Raw genomic sequence first — 19318 nt, forward strand, 5'->3', positions numbered from 1 at the left:
GGCCGTGGGCCTTAAAAGCTTTAAGACGTCAGAGTAAATACTTCTCTGAAGGCCTCTGTTCTTATTACCCACCCAAATTAGAACAAGTTACAGAAAAAGAAACTCTTATCTTCAATAACATAACACCTAAACACCCTGAAACTGAATATCCCAGAAGCAAGTTGCCAAGGGCTATGAAAACACAACCAAGACGAGTGAGGACATCAAAGGCGAACCGGTGACTTCAGGTCTCAGCAAAGGAGAGCCAGAGGAGCAGCAGCAAGCCCTTGCTCAGGACAGGCCGGTGTGAGGAGCCACAGGGTGGCAGAGCAGGCAGGGTTAGGCCAAGCACCCTTACAGTCCAGCGGCAAGGGAAGAGTCCAGGGCAGATCACAGCTTCCCCCAGACGCTGCCCAGGACCTCCCCAGCCTACCCACACGCCATTAGTCCAGAAGAACTCTGCTCATTCAGAGACGAGTAAGGGGCACAAAGAAGCCAGCCAACAGTGATATAAAAACACTCAAAGAGAAAGAAAAGGGACAGAGAAAAGAGGAAAAACAAATGGCAGACAAAAACACATATCCAGGGGCAGGCGTGGTAGCTCACGCCCATCATCCTAGCACTTTAGGAGGCTGAGGAGGGAGGATCACTTGAGTCCAGGAGTTTGAGACCAGCCTGGGCAATATTGGGAGACCCCACCTCTATGAAAAAATTTAAAAGTCAGCCAAGTGTGGTGGCACATGCCTGTGATCCCAGCTACTCGGGGGCTGAGGTAGGACCACTTGAGCCTCGGAGGTGAAGACTACATGAACCAAGATTGTGCCACTGCACTCCAACCTGGGTGACAGAGCAAGATCCTGTCTCCAAAAGACCGAAAAAAAAAAATATCTGGAAAAATATTGAAACAAAGCAGATAAAAATTCCCAAGAATTTCCAAAGACATTTCCAAGAATCCAAGTATCTATTTTAAAACAATAACCATCATCAAACAGGAGGAAATGACAGACAACAGAAACAGAAAAAGAATAAATAAACTTGATTTTTCTCATTCAACAATATACTATGAACATTTTTCCTTGTCAACAAATATGGGTCTATATCTCGTATTTAAAACTGAAAAAATAAAAAGTCTCTGGACCTTTGGGCAAAACGTATACATTACCCTTTATTATGAATGAACTGTGCTCCCCCTACCTCCAGTTCATACATTAAAGCCCTAACTCCCAGTGTACTATAATTGGAAATAGGGCCTTTCAAGAGGTCATCACGGTTACCTGAGGTCATAGGGGTGGGGCCCTAATTTGACAGGACTGGAGGAAGGTCTTCTAAGAAAAGGAAGAGACACCAGAAATCAGTCTCTCTCTCCTATTCTCTCCCCACTCTACGCTCACACAGGGGAAAGGCATGTGAGGACCCAGCAGGAAAGGTGACCACATACAAGCCAGGAAGAGGGCTGCGCCAGGAGCCAACCCCGACGGCACCTCGACCTTGGACTTCTAACCTCCAGAACTGTGAGAAAACAACGAACTGTCTGCTGTTTAAGCCACCCAACCTGTGGTATAAACAAAATTACAGCAGCCGAGTAGACTAATACACCCCTACGACAGGGAAAGTACAATCAGCCTCAGCCTTCAACACGGCTACATTTAACACTAGGACACATAGGGCCACACTTAAGAGTCTTCAAGGGAAGAAGGTACGACCCAAGAATTCTATATCTGGCCACAGTGTCAATCAAGTATGTTACAAAATCAAAATATCTAATATTTGAGATGATGGATATGCTAATTACCCTGATCTGATAACCACACATTATATGTATCAAAACTTCACTCTGTACCCCATAAATATGCACATTATGTGTCAATTTAAAAAAAAAACAATAAAATAAAATACTAAGGAGAAAAAATATATATCCTTAAACATACAAGAACTTGGAAAATTTCATTCCCATGAGCCAAAATGTATGGGTTCATGAACTATTAGAGGATAAACTTTATCCACTCAAGAAGAATGCAGAAAGTCCAGCAAAAGACTTACAGTGAGCAATGAAGCCATTTAAGACGTAGGAATAAAGACTTTTCTTTGGCCGGGCACGGTGGCTCATGCCTGTAATCCCAGCACTTTGGGAGGCCGAGGCGGGCGGATCACCTGAGGTCAGGAGTTTGAGACCAGCCTGGCCAACATGGGGAAACCCCATCTCTACTAAAAATACAAAAATTAGCCAGGCATGGTGGTGTGCACCTGTAGTCCCAGCTACTTGGGTGGTTGAGGCAGGAGAATTGCTTGAACGTGGGAGGCGGAGGTTGCAGTGAGCTGAGATCACACCACTGCATTCCAGCCTGGGCGATGGAGTGAGACTCCGTCTCAAAAAAAAAAAAAAAAAAAAAGACTTTTATTTTCTGGGAATTAAGAACAGAATGTAAATGTTATAAATTTTAATGGAAAAAAATGATATCAAGTTGAGCAGTGCACAAGGAAAGAAGGAGAGAGTGTAAAGACACTTGCCTCTTACAGTGAAATCAAAAGATATTATTTAAAACTGATAAAGTATCAGAGGCATTAGTAAACATAAAGTTATAAATGTTAACACTGGAATAAGTTTAGTAACATCATTAATCAAAAGCAGGTGGTGGAGAGAAGGAAGGGGAGGCAAGAACATGTGGCAATACCAACCTGGTCACTGATTACAGCAGGAAGGAGCTAGTTACCCCTAAACAAATACAGGGTAAACATATCAAATTATACTAAAATATGCAAACATGAGTCCTTTTAATCATTACCAAGAACACACACCCAATACAAAGCAAAGAGAAAAATAAGTCTTCAGTTAAAAAATACTAATACATAAATAAAGTACATTAAAAACATGAAGCATAACATTTTAAAAAAATAGTTAAATTAAGACCAAACATATCTGTCACACAGTAGCATGCCATACCAGTCCGATTAAGAGATGTGAAGTCAAACTGACTGGGATCAAATCCCAGCCTTCCACTTTACTAGGCTTGGTAAGCTATTTCCTCTCTCCCTGAGTCTCCTCATGGGTAAAGTGCAGGTAATTAGTACCCCACTCAGAGAGTTGGAAAGATTAAAGGCAGTCTAAATAATGTGCTTAGAGCAGTACTGGATACACAGATGTGTTCAATGGAAGTGAGTTGCTATTACTAAAATTATCAGCAAATACAAATGGGAAATTCAACTACTAAAAGTCTCTCAGTTAAAAACAAAAACAAAATCAAATTACATTCTGAGGTTAAGAGACCCAACTAAAACAAAGTAGCTTGGAAAGGTAAAAAGTCAACATTGTCTGTATCAGAAGATCAGAAACAACCTAAATACCCATCACTAAACACTTTGGAACAATTTAAAAAAATGAACTCTATGAAGAAACAATCTCTATGATGAATTGTTAAGTGAAAAAGAGAAAGGTGTCTCCATTCCGTATACATTCTTAAATATCCTTCTGCTTCAACAATTTGTAATGAAAACTTTTTTTTTTTTTTTTTTTTTTTTGAGACAGAGTCTCACTCTGTCAACCAGGCTCAAGTGCAGTAGCCCAATCTCGGATCTCTGGGAGACTCCACCTCCCAGAATTCAAGCAATTCTCCTGCCTCTGCCTCCAGAGTAGCTGGGATTACAGGCACATGCCGTCACGCTCAGTTAAGTTTTGTATTTTTAGTAGAGACAGGGTTTCACGATGTTGGCCAGGCTGGTCTCGAGCTCCTGACCTCAAGTGATCCACCACTTCGGCCTCCCAAAGGCTGGGATTACAAGGCGTGAGCCACCATGCCAGGCCAAAAACTATTTTTAAAAAACAAGGTGTGGTAGCCGGGTGTGTGCCTGTAGTCCCAGCTACTCAGGAGGCTGAGGCAGGAGGATCACTCCAGCCCAGGAGGTCGAGGCTGTCTGTAGTGGCTGTATGACTGCACCTGTGAATAGCCACTGCACTCCAGCTTGGACAACATAGAGACCCCCTCTCAAAAAAAAAAAAAAAAAAAAAAAAAAAAAACAAAAAACAGGCTGGGTGGTGTGGCTCACACCTGTAATCCCAGCACATTGGGAGGCAGGGGCAGGTGGATCACCTGAGGTCAGGAGTTCAAGACCAGCCTGGCCAACATGGGGAAACCCCATCTCTGCTAAAAATACAAAAATTAGCTGGGCGTGGTGGTGCACGCCTGTAATCCCAGCCAGTCGGGTGGCTGAGGCAGCAGAATTGCTTAAACCCGGGAGGCAGAGGTTGCAGTGAGCTGAGGTGGTGCCACTGTACTCCAGCCTGGGCAACAAGAGTTAACTCCATCTCAAAAACAAAAAACAAGGTCGGGGGAGAGGGGAAATAATGGGGACTCGTTCAATGAGTACGGAGTTTCAGTTTTGCAAGATGGAAAAGTTCTAGAATCTCTTACACAACAGTGTGAATATAGTTAACATTACAGAATTGTACAGTTAAAAATGGCTAATAGGGCACAAATAGTATTAGGGTTTTTTTTTACAATTTAAACCAAAAAAAAAAGTTTAATTCAAAAATCCAAGGTGTGCAACAGTATGCATATTGTGTTACCATTTGTGTAAAATAAAACTGTGTGCTAGCCGGGCGCAATGGCTCACACCTATAATGCCAACACTTTAGGAGGCTGAGGTGGGCGGATCATGAGCTCAGGAGTTTGAGACCAGCCTGACCAACATAGTGAAACCCCGTCTCTACTAAAAATACAAAAATTAGCCAGGCTTGGTGGCACATACCTGTAGTCCTAGCTACTCAGGAGGCTTGAGGCAGGGGAATTGCTTGAACCCGGGAGGCGGAGGTTGCGGTGAGCTGAGATCGTGCCACTGCACTCCAGCCTGGGCTACAGAGCAAGACTCCATCTCAAAAAAAACAACAACAAAAAAAGAAAGAACAAAAACAAGTGTGTGCTAACCCATATGCCTACACACAATCACCCCTGGAACATGAACAATCAGCTGGCTAAGAACGGGTAAGGGCGGCTTCCTCTAGGCAGGAAAGAGGCGAGGGGGGCACGCTCTCTAGAAATCTTCCAGCACCTTTTCAGTTCTGCACTGTGTGTGCATCACTTCTTCAAACAACAAGCAAGCAAATCTACCTACCAACTAGCCTGGCACTTTAAACTCTGGCACAGCAGCTGGTGAAAAGTTCAAACACACTGCCCCAAGTAAGTTTTAGTCACTGTAATTAGAATCCATCAATTCCTGGATGGGAGAGAGGAAGCCATCTCAAAATGTGGAAGGGAGAATAATGAAGTCATACTCAAACACAGGCTGCAAATAGGGAACCTAAAAAGCACTCCACAACATGGTATTTATTTCAATGCGCCTACTCGGGCTGAGGAGATTAAATCTGCTAATAGCAGTGAAGTGCCCAGAACACAGTTAGAAGTATAAATGTTAGCGATTACTACTTTAGATTTCCTTCATTTAAAGCACGTGAGTAAGAGATGCAGATTCCAATAGTAGTGTGTACAATCTCTCTCTTAAGCTACCTCCTATCGATCTGAAAAGCGGGCCTAATAACATCACCTATCTCAGAGGGTTGTTGGTGGCATTAAAAATGAGTTAATACTTATAAACACTTAGAATGGGGCTGGGCACATAGAAGTACTCAATAAACAGCCATAATAGCCAATATTGTATCTCATTCCAGAAGAAATAACATATTAACTGAAGAAACCTATGTTTGTCATCTTGAATAGGAACCCAAGCATAATTATAAGTGAAATAAACAAAATATTTAAACTGAGTAGAGGTGGGGAAGTATCAGGAGAGAAAGGTTAAGAAGGTATGAAGATTTCTGAGTACAGCTGGGGAAGGTTTCTTGCCTCCCAGCAAAGAGATGCCTATTTAACCTGAAGCAAAAACAGACCTGTAGGAAGACATCACCAACAAGAATCAGATTAACCCTGGCTCCCTGCATTCTCTCTGGGTCTAAGTTCAGTGTGAAATGATGATCCAAATAAATCCCAGATGGATGAAGATTAAATACAAACATCAAAGGAAAATGGGTTTTACCAACATACAAATTTAAAGTTATGGATGTCCAAATGAAATAACCAAAAGAGAAAGGCAAAAAATTAACTGAGTAAAACTAACCTGCTGCAAATATAACAACAAAAGAAGCTTTCTATCTTAATTATATGAAAGCTTCCAGAGAATAAGCAGAATGTGGTATCTATGTACAATGGAATATTATTCAGCCTTAAAAAGAAAGGAATCCTGGCACATGCTTCAACATGGATGAAGCATGAAGACGCTAAGTGAAGTAAGCTGGTCACAAAAGGACAAATACTATATGATTCCATTTATATGAGGGCCCTAGAGTCATCAAATGTATAGAGACAGAAAGTAAAATGGGCATTCCAGGGGCAGGTAAAGGAGTAAAGAGAATTCGTGTTCAATGGGGACAGAGTTTTAGTTTGGGAAGATGAAAAGGCTTCTGGAGACAGACGGTGGCAATGGTTTGTGAATGTGCCTAATGCCACCAAGCTGTACATTCAAAAATGGTTCAAATGATAAATTCTGTTATGTGTATTTTAGAATAAAAAAAAGTTAAGTAAAAACAAAGTTCATAGAAATCACAGCAACAAGAAAAGCAATAAAACAACGATACGTAAAAGAGCACAGGGCATGAACAGACAGCTCGCAAAAGAGGAAATACAACTAACTAATGTGGAAAAACGTATAAGGTCAAAGTTATCAAAAATGCAAATGTAAAGCATATGGCAAATTTTAATCCATTAAATGATCAAAAATAATATTAATGCTGACAAGAGTACAAAGAAAGCAAGCCTCTTGCGCGGTGCTGACGGCAGTCTGAAATGGCACACTGTGCAGAGACTAATAAAATTACTAACACTGCTGAACTCCATAATCAAACACTGCTAGTTCTTTTTAAGTAAAAAAGACTCGAAATACAGGAAAAACTGTATGCACAAAGATTACATTATTTCTTATAAAACCAAGAAAATGACTAAAAATAGTGGAACTGCTAAGCAGGAAATACCTACTAGACAGATTATCATATAGCTGTTAAAATAAGGGTTATGAAAACTGTAAGGAAATGAGGAGTATAATATTGGGTGTAAAATCATTTTAAAAATGGGTAAAAAGATTAAATGAAAATATACTAAATGTCAACAGTACCTATGTTAATGTGATAAGACTATAAAAATCCCACAGATATCTTCCAAATTTTCTATACCACACTTACAATTCTACTGTAGTGAAGGGGGAAATGATCTCTATGTGAAGTGTTAAACTCCGAGTTATGGCTGTGGGGCAAGATCACACAAACTCCTCATCTAACTTCCCAATTTCCTAATGTATTTTATCCACAGACAGACTTACGGCAGCAAGATGGCAATGCCAAGCAGGAGACGCAGCACATCTTGCCACAGCTTCCTCCTGGCCAGAGGCTCCCTAACATGGGTGACACTCTCCACATAGGTAAAATCCAGCCAGAGTTGTGAAAGCAGCTGAATCTCTCCCTTGCTACTGTCTTCATGCCTTTGAGTGACACCACTATGACAGGCATTGAGTTGCTCTTACCAACACTGCAAGTTTGTGACTGACAGACCACTGATCTATGATGGGAAATGGCAACAGGCCCAGAAAAAAGCATTTCCCAGACTTCCTTGTGGACAGGGATGACTAAGTAAGTTCAGGCCAGTAAGACACAAAAGCTGGAGAATGGTTGCCAGGAAAGCTCCTTACAAAGCTGAGGTAGACTCAAGTCGTAGACTTGCCTCCTGCCCTTAACACCCTCCTCCTTCCTGGAACACAGAGGTGATAGCTGGAGGTGCAGTAATCAACTTGTGATCATGAGGCATCCTTAGAATGAAAGCCATATATTCAAGACACTAGAGTAGAGAGATTGTTAGCCACACCAGAGAGCTGCCATATCAGCACTGGACTCTACTGCAAATTTATTTAAGAAAAATAAAGCCTTAACTTTTTTAAACTACTGCTTTTATACTTCTATTACTTGCTGCCAAAAACATTTCACTGTCTTTGAAGAATTAAAATCTATGTATTTCCATTTAAAGGAACATTTACAATATAATGATGTTCTCCTGGTTCTTGAATCAAAATCGATGTTATTCAGGCCACATCCTTATGGGTTCTGAGGACCACAATCACAAACCCTCCGTCTTCCTCAACCTCCCATTTCATCTCTATCCACCACTATTGATGTTATAATTATTCCTTTAGGAGACAAATGTATTATTCTCAAACTATTATTTATAACAAGATCTAAATTGGAGATGTCCAGTTATTCTGGGGTTTTTTCTCTCTTTAAGACTAGTCAAGTGCAGCAGTGAGAAGAAGAGAAAGAGAATAATCTGGTTTTTTAAATATAGAAGCATATGATCAAAGCATCAATGAATGCAAGCTACACAAACATTTTTATTCATAACAATGGTAAAATTATCACCTGGTATTGATTTAAAAGTGAATAATGACTATCATAAAACCAACCCATATTTCTGGATAAAGATAGAAAATTGAACACATGTATCTAATATTACTCCACCTCCATGCCCCTCTAAAACTACAGTAAAGAAACATTTTTAAAAATACAAATCCTCAAGGAAGCGAGAATAGGAGAGGAGGCGACAATATACTGGAAGCTGGAAAGTACGTGCAGGAGGTGACTTAGCAAATCCAAGAAAGCTGACCTCTACACTGGCTAGGTCTACACTGGCTAGGTCTACACTGGTTAGTGAAGTGCACAAGGCAGGTCTAACCATTCTCAAGAATTCAGGAAGGAAACTAGGACATAACGCAATTGTGATTCAGATGTAGGGCACTGCTATGGCTAGCATTTTTTTATTTCACCAGGTTCATGAGGAAAATGATTTCACAGAGCACTAACTTTACCTAGAGATTTCAAGATAATCATGTATTCGTAGGTTCATCTCTAAAATACCAAGGATGGTACGTTTTATTTTTAGTAATCAGAGTTAATTTTCCATCAACTATCAACACGTGAATGCTACTGACTCCTACATCAACACCTGCTGCTTGGAGCTGGCTGCTCCTCGGCTTCTTTACCTGTGTAGCCCAGTCAGACCCTTCGACCTCAGCATGTACAAAACCAAACTCTCCTTCTTCCTCCTCCCTCCCTCCCTCAAGTGAGTTTCTTCTCATGTTTCCCATCTTAACCAATCACATTATCATCCATGCACTGCCCCATCTCAAAATCTGAGTCATCCTAGATTTCTCTCTTAACTGCTACCAATTCTCATCACTAAGACCCATCAATTCTACCTCCTGTATATCTCTGCTAACTATATGTAACTTACCCCAACCAACTGTACATGCTCCAAAAACACAACAGCATACAAAAGCTAGTGAGGGTACAAGCCAGAACAATGAGGCCAAATATGAGAGCAGGCGAAATAACTCCATGAGTGATACAATGTCTGCCCGGGCTCCTTAACGAGTACTGGCTCTGGAAGCCTGATTGCTCAATACAATGTCTGCCCGGGCTCCTTAATGAGTACTGGCTCTGGGAGTTTGATTGTTCTCAGGCGGTCTCAGCTTCAACATACTGGGACTGGGAGCAAAGTGCTGGACTGAGGGCAACCTAACAAACAATGTGTGCTTCCACACACCATACTGTACTCCTAAATGTAAGTCAACCACCCCAGCTGGTGCAGAAGAAAGTTACTCCACACTGAGGGAAAATCCATTTTCTCCCACTGACTCAGAGCTGCATAAACGGGCCCTTCCTGAAGGATTTTCATGGGTGGTTTTGACTATACATATCTCCTTACATAATTTTAAGAACCTCGCAAATGACAGAACTCCCTTCCACCCACTCCTACCATTCTCACCCTACGCCCTCCTCGGAGGCACCTGTCACCTCACATGGGGTCATCTTCAAGACTCTGTGTGCCATAGGTGTCTGCCCACAAAGTCTCCCTAAAACACAAAACTGGCCACGTGGCTCTCACTGTCTACACTGTGCAAAGGCTGCCTGACCTCCTCTCTCCACACTCCCCCGCTCTCGTCACCCTAACCAAGTCAGGTCCTCAGAGTCACCACGCCCTCTCATTGCTGGTCGTCTGCATGTGCTGCTTGTTTGCTCTTGCAGGATTTATATTCAAAAAGTTTGCAAATCCCTTCCGAAGTTCTAATTCAGTTTCCACTCAAGAGCACTGCATCTCTTTGACATCTCTGAGTGTGTTCTGAGCTCTGGGTAATGCAATATTGGGGAAGAGTGGAGTTCCCAGGTGCTCAGTCCACATAACCGGTGTAAGCTGAGTCTCTGCACCTCCTTGAAAACAGTCAGTGGCAAGGAGCTCATTCTCTCTGCATGTTCAGATGACTGGGCACGGCCATCAGAAAGGATAATTCTGTGAGCTCCTGTGGGGTCCATCATTTGGGCCTCTCAAGACTCTCTTAATGTCTTCAATTCACTTTGATGGCTTGGTCTTAAATCTTTCCACCTGGTTCACTCCCCTTTAACTATTCCATTAACATACGGTTAAGGACAAATACCTGAAGGAAATTTACCATTCTCATCACTTCCTCAACCACAACATGCAACAGAATGACTTGCAGAATTCAAAGCACACCACATGTAATACGATATTTTCTTATCTTTTTAATAATAAACTTGATTGTTTTTGAACATTCATTGCAGGTACCCATTTTTAGCAAATGGCCTTTTCCATGTTCACACCAAACCCCTCCAATTCCATCCTGGCAAGTGGTTACATTTTACTATCTCATGTATGCCAGCTAAATCAGAAGAGTCCCCTTTAATAAAAATTCCTGTGAGCTGTGTGGTGGTCCATATTTGCTCCACATGCCTAAGATTAGATGTCCCTCTAAGTAAAGCAAGAACTCCTGGCGCGGGAAGCTGAAGTAGACAGAAGGAAGCAGCTGGGCTCGGTGCCTGCTCCTAAAATCCTATCCAACAGGTAGTTTATGTGATATGCTACAGAAGGAAAAATGCCAAATCTGACAGGTGGGAATCTGTGATTTGTTTTGGCTGTAAAGACAAAGCCACTCACACACAGCCAGTTTCTTGGCCCCATTTGCTCCACATAAACAACTGTGGGCCGGGTATGGTGGCTCATGCCTGTAATCCCAACACTTTGGGAGGCTAAAGTGGGAGGATCACTTAAGCCCAGGAGTTTGAGGCCAGCTTGGACAACACAGCGAGACCCGGTTTGGAGAAACAATTTAGCAATACCTCGCCAAGGTGAACACCTCAGACCCAAAGACAAGCAGCTTCACTTCTAGGTGTCTATCCTAGAAAACTTCTTGTACATATGTGTGATGAGACATAGACAATGATATTTGTGTAGCAAAAACAAATGAAAACAATTTAATGGTTCCTTCATAGGGAGATGGATAACGAACAGTGGTTTATTCATACAAGGGAGTATTATACTATAAGATAATTAAAATGATGAACTGGAACTACATATGCCAACAGTGAAAACTAAAAAGTATAATGCTTAGCTTTTTAAAAAAGCAGTTATAAAAGGATATATAGATTATGGTTTCATATATGTGTATTTCTAACCCTTATTATTGTCACTGGATAGTCCAACTCTGTAAAACATTTGAAAAGATTTATTCTGAGCCAAGTATGAGTGACCATGGCCCATGACACAGTCGTCAGGAGACCCTGAGATCATGTGGGTGGGGCACAGCCTAGTTTTATACATTTTAGGGAGATAGGAAATATCAATCAAATACATGTAAGATGTACATTGATTTGGTTCATGTCAGGCCTCTGAGCCGAAGCTCACCCATTGTAACCTCTGTGACCTGCACATGTACATCCAGATGGCCTGCAGGAGCCAAGAAGTCTGGTGCAGCCAAAAAACCACAAAAGAAGTAAAACAGCCAGTTCCTGCCTTAACTGATTAACCAACATTACATGCCACCATTGTGACTTGTCCCTGCCCTACCTTAACTGATCAGTCGACCTTGTGAAATTCTTCTTCTGGACAATAAGACTTATGATCTCCCCACCATGTACCTTGTGACCCCCTCCTCTGCTAACAATAAATAACCACCTTTTACTGTAATTTTTCATTACCTACCCAACTCCTATAAAGCAACCCCTTCCCCATCTCCCTTCGACGCCTTTTTCAGACTCAGTCCGCCTGCACCCAGGTGATTAAAAAGCTTTATTGCTCACACAAAGCCTGTTAGGTGGTCTCTTCACACAGAGGCGCTTGACATTTGGTGCCATGACTTGGTTCGGGGGACCTCCCTCCAGAGATCAATCGCCTGTCCTCCTGCTCTTTGCTCCATGAGAAAATCCACTTACAACCTCAGGTCCTCAGACCAGCCCAAACAAAACACCTCACCAATTTTAAATTGGGTAAGTGGCCTCTTTTTATTCTCTTCTCTAACCTCTGTCGCTATCCCTCAACCTCTTTCTCCTTTCAATTTCCACGTCACCCTTCAATCTCTCCCTTCCCTTCATTTCCTTTTGCTTTCTGGTAGAGACAGAGAAGACACGTTTTATCTGTGGACTCCAAACTCTGGAGCTGGTCACAGACTCGGGAAGACAGTCTTTCCTTGGTGTCTAATCACTGCGGGGACGCCTGCCTGATTATTCACCCGCATTCCAGAAGTGTTTAATCACTGCGGGGACACCTGCTTTGATCCTCCACCTTGGTGGCAAGTACAACCTCCCCTGGGTGGCAAGTACCACCCCCCTCTCTTCGAGTCTCTACCCCCTCTTTTCTTGGAACTTACCTTTTTCCTATGGGCAACCTTCCACCCTCCATTCCTCCTTCTTCCGCCTTAGCCTGTGTTCTTAAAAACTTAAAACCTCTTAAACTCTCACCTGACCTAAAACCTAAGAGTCTTATTTTCTTCTGCAACTCCGCTTGGCCCCAATACAAGCTCGACAATGGTTCCAAGTGGCCAGAAAACGGCACTTTCGATTTCTCCATCCCACAAGACCTAGATAAATTTTGTCGAAAAATGGGCAAATGGTCTGAGGTGCCTTACGTCCAGGCATTTTTTATACTTCGTTCCCTCCCTAGCCTCTGCTCCCAATGCAGCTCATCCCAAATCCTTCTTCTTTCTCTCCTGTCCGCTTCTTCAGTCTCTACCCCAACCTCAGAGTCTTCTGAATCCTCCTTTTCTGCAGACCCCTCTGACCTCTCTCCCCCTCCCCAGGCCACTCCTTGACAGGCTGAATCAAGTCCCAATTCCTCCTCAGCCTCTGCTCCCCCACCTTATAATTCTTCTATCACCTCCCCTCCTCACACTCAGTCTGGCTTACAGTTTCATTCCATGACTAGCTCTCCTCCCACCTGCCCAACAGTTTCCTCTTAGAGAGGTGGCTGGAGCTGAGGGCACAGTAAGGGTTCATGTACCTTTTTCTCTATCAGACCTTTTCCAAATCAGTCAGCATCTGGGCTCTTTCTCATCAGACCCCACTAAATATATACAAGAATTCCAATATTTGACTCAGTCCTACAATTTAACCTGGAGTGATTTAAATGTCATCCTGACCTCTCCCGTCTCCCCAGATGAGCGGGAAAGAGTTTATACCCTAGCCCATTCTCACACTGACACCTGCTTGCATCGTGAGCCAGACCTCCAAGAAGGCATCAGGGCAGTTCCCCGAGATGATCCCCAAAGGGAATACCAGACAGGCTTCCCAGGTATAGCTAGGTGAGATTACATGGTCTCTTGCCTAGTTGAAGGGCTAAAAAAGGCAGCATACAAAGCTGTTAGTTATGACAAGCTTAAAGAAGCCACTCAAGGTAAAGATGAAAACCCAGCCCAGTTCTTGGCCCGCTTGGTGGCTACCCTTAGACGCTTTACAGCCCTAGACCCTCGAGGGCCAGAAGGCCATCTTATTCTCAATATGTGTTTTATCACCCAGTCAGCTCCTGACATTAGAAAAAAGCTTCAAAAATTGGAATCTGGCCCTCAAACCCCACAACAGGAATTAATCAACCTCGCCTTCAAGGTGTTCAACAATAAAGAGGCAGCCAAGCGGCAACGCATTTCAGAGCTGCAACTGCTTGCGCCTGCTGTAAGACAAACCCCAGCCATGCCTTCAGCACACAAAAACTTCAGAACAACCAAACCACAGCCTCCAGCTACTCCTTTAAATCCTCCTCATGGACCTTGATTCAAGTGCCGCAAAACTGGCCACTAGACCAAGAAATGCCCACAGCCCAGGATTCTTCCTAAGCCGTGTCCCACCTGTGCGGGACCCCACTGGAAATCGGACTGTCCAACTAATATCACAGCCACTTCTAGGGCCCCTGGAGCTCTGGATCAAAGCTCTCTGGCTGACTGCTTCTCAGATCTCGGCTTTGCGGCTGAAGACTGATGCTGCCCGATCACCTGGGAAAGCCCCCTGGACCATCATGGACGCCGAGCTTCGGGTAACTTTTACAGTGGAGGGTAAGTCCGTCCCCTTTTTAATTGATATGGAGGCTACCCACTCCACATTACCTTCTTTTCAAGGGCCTGTTTCCCTTGCCCCCATAGCTGTTGTGGGTATTGACGGCCAAGCTTCTGAACCTCTTAAAATTCCCCCACTCTGGTGCCAACTTAGACAACATGCTTTTATGCACTTTTTTAGTTATCCCCACCTGCCCAGTTCCCTTATTAGGCTGAGACATTTTAACAAATTATCTGCTTCCCTGGTTATTCCTGGGCTACAGCCACACCTCACTGCTGTCCTTTTGCCCAATTCAAGGCCTCTTTCACATCCTCCCTTTGTGTCTCCCCACCTTAATCCACAAGTATGGGATACCTCTACTTGTTCTCTGGCAACCGACCATGCACCCCTTACCATTCCATTAAAACCTAATCACCCTTACCCTGCTCAATGCCAGTATCCCATCCCACACCAGGATTTAAAGGGATGAAGCCTATTATCACTTGCCTGTTACAGCATGGCCTTTTAAAGCCTACAAATTCTCCTTACAACTCCCCTATCCTACCCATCCAGAAACCGGGCAAGTCCTACAGGCTAGTTCAAGACCTTTGCCTCATAAATCAAATTGTCCTTCCCAACCATCCTGTTGTGTCAAACCCCTATACTCTCCTCTCCTCAGTACCCCCTTCCACAACTCATTATTCTGTTATCGACCTCAAAGATGCCTTCTTTACCATCCCCTTGCATCCCTCCTCCCAACCTCTTTTCACCTTTACCTGAACTGACCCTGACACCCACCAGTCCCAGCAACTCACCTGGACTGTCCTACCCCAAGGTTTCAGGAACAGCCCACACTACTTTGGTCAGGCCCTCTCTCATGACTTTCTTTCTGCCCGTCTGCCTCCCAACTTATTCAATATGTTGATGAACTTCTTCTTTGCAGCCCCTCTTACCAATCTTCCCAGCAGAACACTATCCTACTTCTTCAACACCTCTACTCAAAAGGGTACCGAGTATCCCCTTCAAGGCTCAAATGTCTTCCCCTAGTGTTACATATCTCGGCATAGTCCTCCATCAACATACATGCGCTCTTCCTGCAGACCGTGTTCAGTTAATCTCCCAGGCCCCTATCCCGACCACCAAACAACAACTCCTTTCCTTCTTAGGCATTGTTGGATACTTGCAACTCTGGGTACCAAACTTTGTCATTCTAACCAAACTGCTTTACAAGCTCACTAAAGGTGATTTAACTGATCCCATAGACCCTAAGTCCTTTCCCCATTCTTCCTTTCATTCTCTCAAAAAGGCCCTAGAAACAGCTCCCACACTGGCACTCCTTGACTCATCTCAACCTTTTTCCGTCCACACAGCTGAAATACAAGGCTGTGCTGTTGGAGTGCTCACACAGGAGCCAGGCCCACAATCTATAGCCTTTCTATCCAAACAACTTGACCTCACAGTTCTAGGCTGGCCCTCATGTCTACTTGCAGTGGCAGCTGCTGCTTTAATACGTCTAGAGGCCCTCACAATCACAAGCTATGCTCCACTTACCCTCTACAGTTCTCACAACCTTCAAGCGTTAATGTCCTCCTCACACCTTTCACACTTACTGTCTGCCCCTCGACTCCTCCAGCTCTATTCACTCTTTATTGAAACCCCAACAGTAACTATTGCCCATGGGCCCGATTTCAACCCAGCTTCTCACTTAGCACCCAGCACAAGTCCTGAGCCACATGACTGTATCTCCCTAATACACATAGCATCTTCCCCCTTTCCTCATATTTCTATTTTTCCAATCCCAAACCCAGACCACACTTAGTTTATTGATGGCAGTTCCTCTAAACCCAGCCAAATCTCGCCAGCTAAAGCTGGTGATGCTGTTGTGTCCTGTACCTCTATTATCAAGGCTGCTGCACTTCCTCTCTCCACTACTTCCCAACAAGCGGAACTGATTGCTTTAAACCATGCACTCTCTCTCGCCAAAGGAATGCACATTAACATTTACACTGACTCCAAATATGCTTTCCACAGCCTCCATAACCATGCTGCCATTTGGACTGAAAGAGGTTTTCTCACCACACAGGGCTCTTCCATTATCAATGCCTCTCTAATAAAGGCCCTTCTTAAGGCTGCTCTCTTGCTGGCCAAGGCTGAGGTCATTCACTGTAAAGGACACCAGAAACCAACGGATCTTATTGCTAAAGAAAATGCCTACGCCAACAAAATAGCCAAGGAAATAACCAATGCCTCCACACCTGCTAATATTCCAGCCCCCACTCCAGAAGGCCAGTATTTTTCTTTCTCCTCTATGACTCCCACCTACTCTTCTTCTAAAAACCCACTCTACCAGTCTTTTCCAACTCAGGGCAAGAGGTTCTTAGACCATGGAAAATTCATTCTTCCTTAGCTTAATCCAGGAGACAAAGATTATTTTACTTATTATCTCTCCTGCGTAGGCTCTGCAATCAAAACTATTGAACTTCTCCGTTCAGACCGCCACTCACACCTATGGGAAAAGGGTAATATAATAGATCATTGGCTTAACAACAGGGAATCCCATTCATATGACAGACAATGGGGACAAAAAGCTTTGGTATGTAAAACATTATTCCTTTCCTGGCCTAAAAACTCATCGCCACCTACATTAAAGCTAATATGCCTGATTACTGTTTTTAGAGAACTTATTTTATTAGGGCAATTCCAAACTCAAAAATATGCTAACTGGCACCTTGTTAGCTACATAGAAATGCACCTTAGACCCGAAACTTACTAGACTAACTCATTATAAAATTTTCTTTAAGGTGTCCATGCAGTCCCTGGTCATAGTTGAAGCAGTCCTGAGAAACATCGCCCCTACCCCCATAATCCCCAGAAAAAACCGATATTTTCTTCATCTTTTCTTATAACTTTATATTTTATAAATAAAAAGACAGGAATGTCAGGCCTCTGAGCTGAAGCTCAGCCATTGTAACCCCTGTGACCTGCACATATATGTCCAGATGGCCTGCAGGAGCCAAGAAGTCTGGAGCAGCTGAAAAACCACAAAAGAAGTGAAACAGCCAGCTCCCGCCTTAACTGATTGACCAACCTTATGACATTCCACCATTATGACTTGTCCTGGCCCTGCCCCAACTGATTAATTGACCTTGTGACATTCTTCTTTTGGACAATGAATCTTATGATCTCCCCACCATGCACCCCGTAACCCCCTCCTCTGCTAACAATATATAACCACCTTTAACTGTAACTTTCCACTACCTACCCAAGTCCTATAAAGCTGCCTCTCTCCTACCTCCCTTCGCTGACTCTCTTTTCAGACTCAGCCCACTTGCACCCAAGTGAATAAATAGCCTTACTGCTCACACAAAACCTGTTTAGGTGGTCTTCTCTACGGACACACGTGACAGTTCAGAAAGGTGGGACAACTTGAAATGGGGTGGGTGGGGGTGTTCCAGGTCATAGGTAGATTTTAAAGTTTCTCATTGGCAATCGGTTGAAAGGGACAAGTTATTATCCAAAGACCTGGAATCAATAGAAAGAAATGTCTGGGTTATGATGATAAGGGATTGTGGAGACCAAGGTTTTATCATGCAGATGAAGCCTCCAGGTAGCAGGCTTCACAGAATAGATTGTAAATGTTTCTTATCAGACTTAAGGTCTGTGTGGATGTTAATTCCGGTTAGCTCTTCCTGAAATCAAGAAGGGAGGGGGGTACAGTGAGGCATATCCAACCCTCCCTTCCCATCATGGTCTGAACCAGTTTTTTTCACGTTAACTTTGCAATGCCCTGGCCAAGAGGAGGTGTGCATTCAGATGGTTGGAGGGCCTTAGAATTTTATTTTTGGTTTACATTAGCTAGAAAGAGGGAGAGAGGGGGAGAGAGAGTGTGTTATGGATACACACATACTGGGTACTTTGACAGACACTGGAAGGGCTCACTGAGCCTTCTTGGCAGCTACCTGGAGACCTGCCTGGAGCCTGGAAAGCTAAAAACAACCTTTCCCAGAAATCTTTGGAGCCAGTTTTTGCAAGGGACTTGGGGACTGTGAAGAAGATGCACCTGGGTAAGTGTTAGTGGCAGAAATGAACAACTCGAGGCAGAGGCCATGCACAGGACGGAGCTCTTCTGGCAAGCACAGTACTGGACCCATATGGTCCCTCCAGGGCGAGTGAGCTTCTGCATCTAGTCTAGTCCCCAGGTCACTCATGCTAAGCTGTGGTGGTAGGGGTGATGGCAGCTTGCTCATGTGGCACTGGGGCTGTATACGTGTCTCCTAGGGTCAGTGGCAGCAGTGTTAGCTCCGTCACTGTGGCAGGAGCCGAAGGGATCTGGGATCAGTGACTTTATGTGACCAGTTTTGTAGAACAGTTGTCAGCCTTGTTCCTGGATTTAACCTAGAAGCTCTTCCTTTAGCCCTGCCAAGGATTCTTGAACTATTTAATACACCTTAGAAAATGCATTTTTCCTTAAACTATTAATAGGTAGAGTTAGGTCTATTGTTTGCACCAAAGAACACTGGCTTATAGAAGAGAGTGATCCGCCTCTACCTCAGGGTACTGATTGGCTCAGAAGAAGGAAATAGGGAAAGAAAATAGGGTGGGGGCGATGGAGCTTTGTGTATGTCACTATTTATTTCTCTGAAAAAGACAGGGAGATGTGTGAAGCAAATGTGGCAAACATATAGTTACTCTTTGAGGTGTTTTTTGTGGGTATCTGAAGCAATATTTTTGTGCTTTTCTAGATGTTTAAAATATTTTATTATTTAAAAATAATGTTTAAGGCTGAGCTTGGTGGCTCATGCCTGTAATCCCAGTACTTGGGAAGGCTGAGGTGGGTGGATCCCTTGAGCCCAAGACCAGCCTGAGCAACATGGCAAAATCCCATCTCTCCAAAAAAAAAAAAAAAACAACAACAACAAAAATTAGTCAGGCACAGTGGCA

General features: G+C 43.5%; 2 protein-coding genes across 18 annotated transcripts in view; one reads left to right on the plus strand and one right to left on the minus strand.

The window, feature by feature from the left end:
* Positions 1 to 19318, minus strand: part of ACTR3C (actin related protein 3C) — a 442186-nt gene that overhangs the window by 414144 nt on the left and 8724 nt on the right. Inside the window, exon 1 of one of the 17 annotated variants that reach the window (NM_001164459.2) lies at positions 7339 to 7560. The exons of the other annotated variants lie outside the window; for them this stretch is intronic. The gene's annotated coding sequence lies outside the window, so the exon portion shown is untranslated. Of the gene's footprint in view, positions 1 to 7338; positions 7561 to 19318 lie in introns of those variants that run through there. 17 annotated transcript variants of the gene reach the window in all.
* LRRC61 (leucine rich repeat containing 61) overlaps positions 13996 to 19318 on the plus strand; it is a 28658-nt gene continuing 23335 nt past the window's right edge. The window contains exon 1 of the mRNA NM_001363434.1: positions 13996 to 14397. The gene's annotated coding sequence lies outside the window, so the exon portion shown is untranslated. The remainder of the gene's footprint in view (positions 14398 to 19318) is intronic.

The sequence above is a fragment of the Homo sapiens genome, chromosome 7, assembly GCF_000001405.40.
Source record: "Homo sapiens chromosome 7, GRCh38.p14 Primary Assembly".
Lineage (NCBI taxonomy): Eukaryota > Metazoa > Chordata > Mammalia > Primates > Hominidae > Homo > Homo sapiens.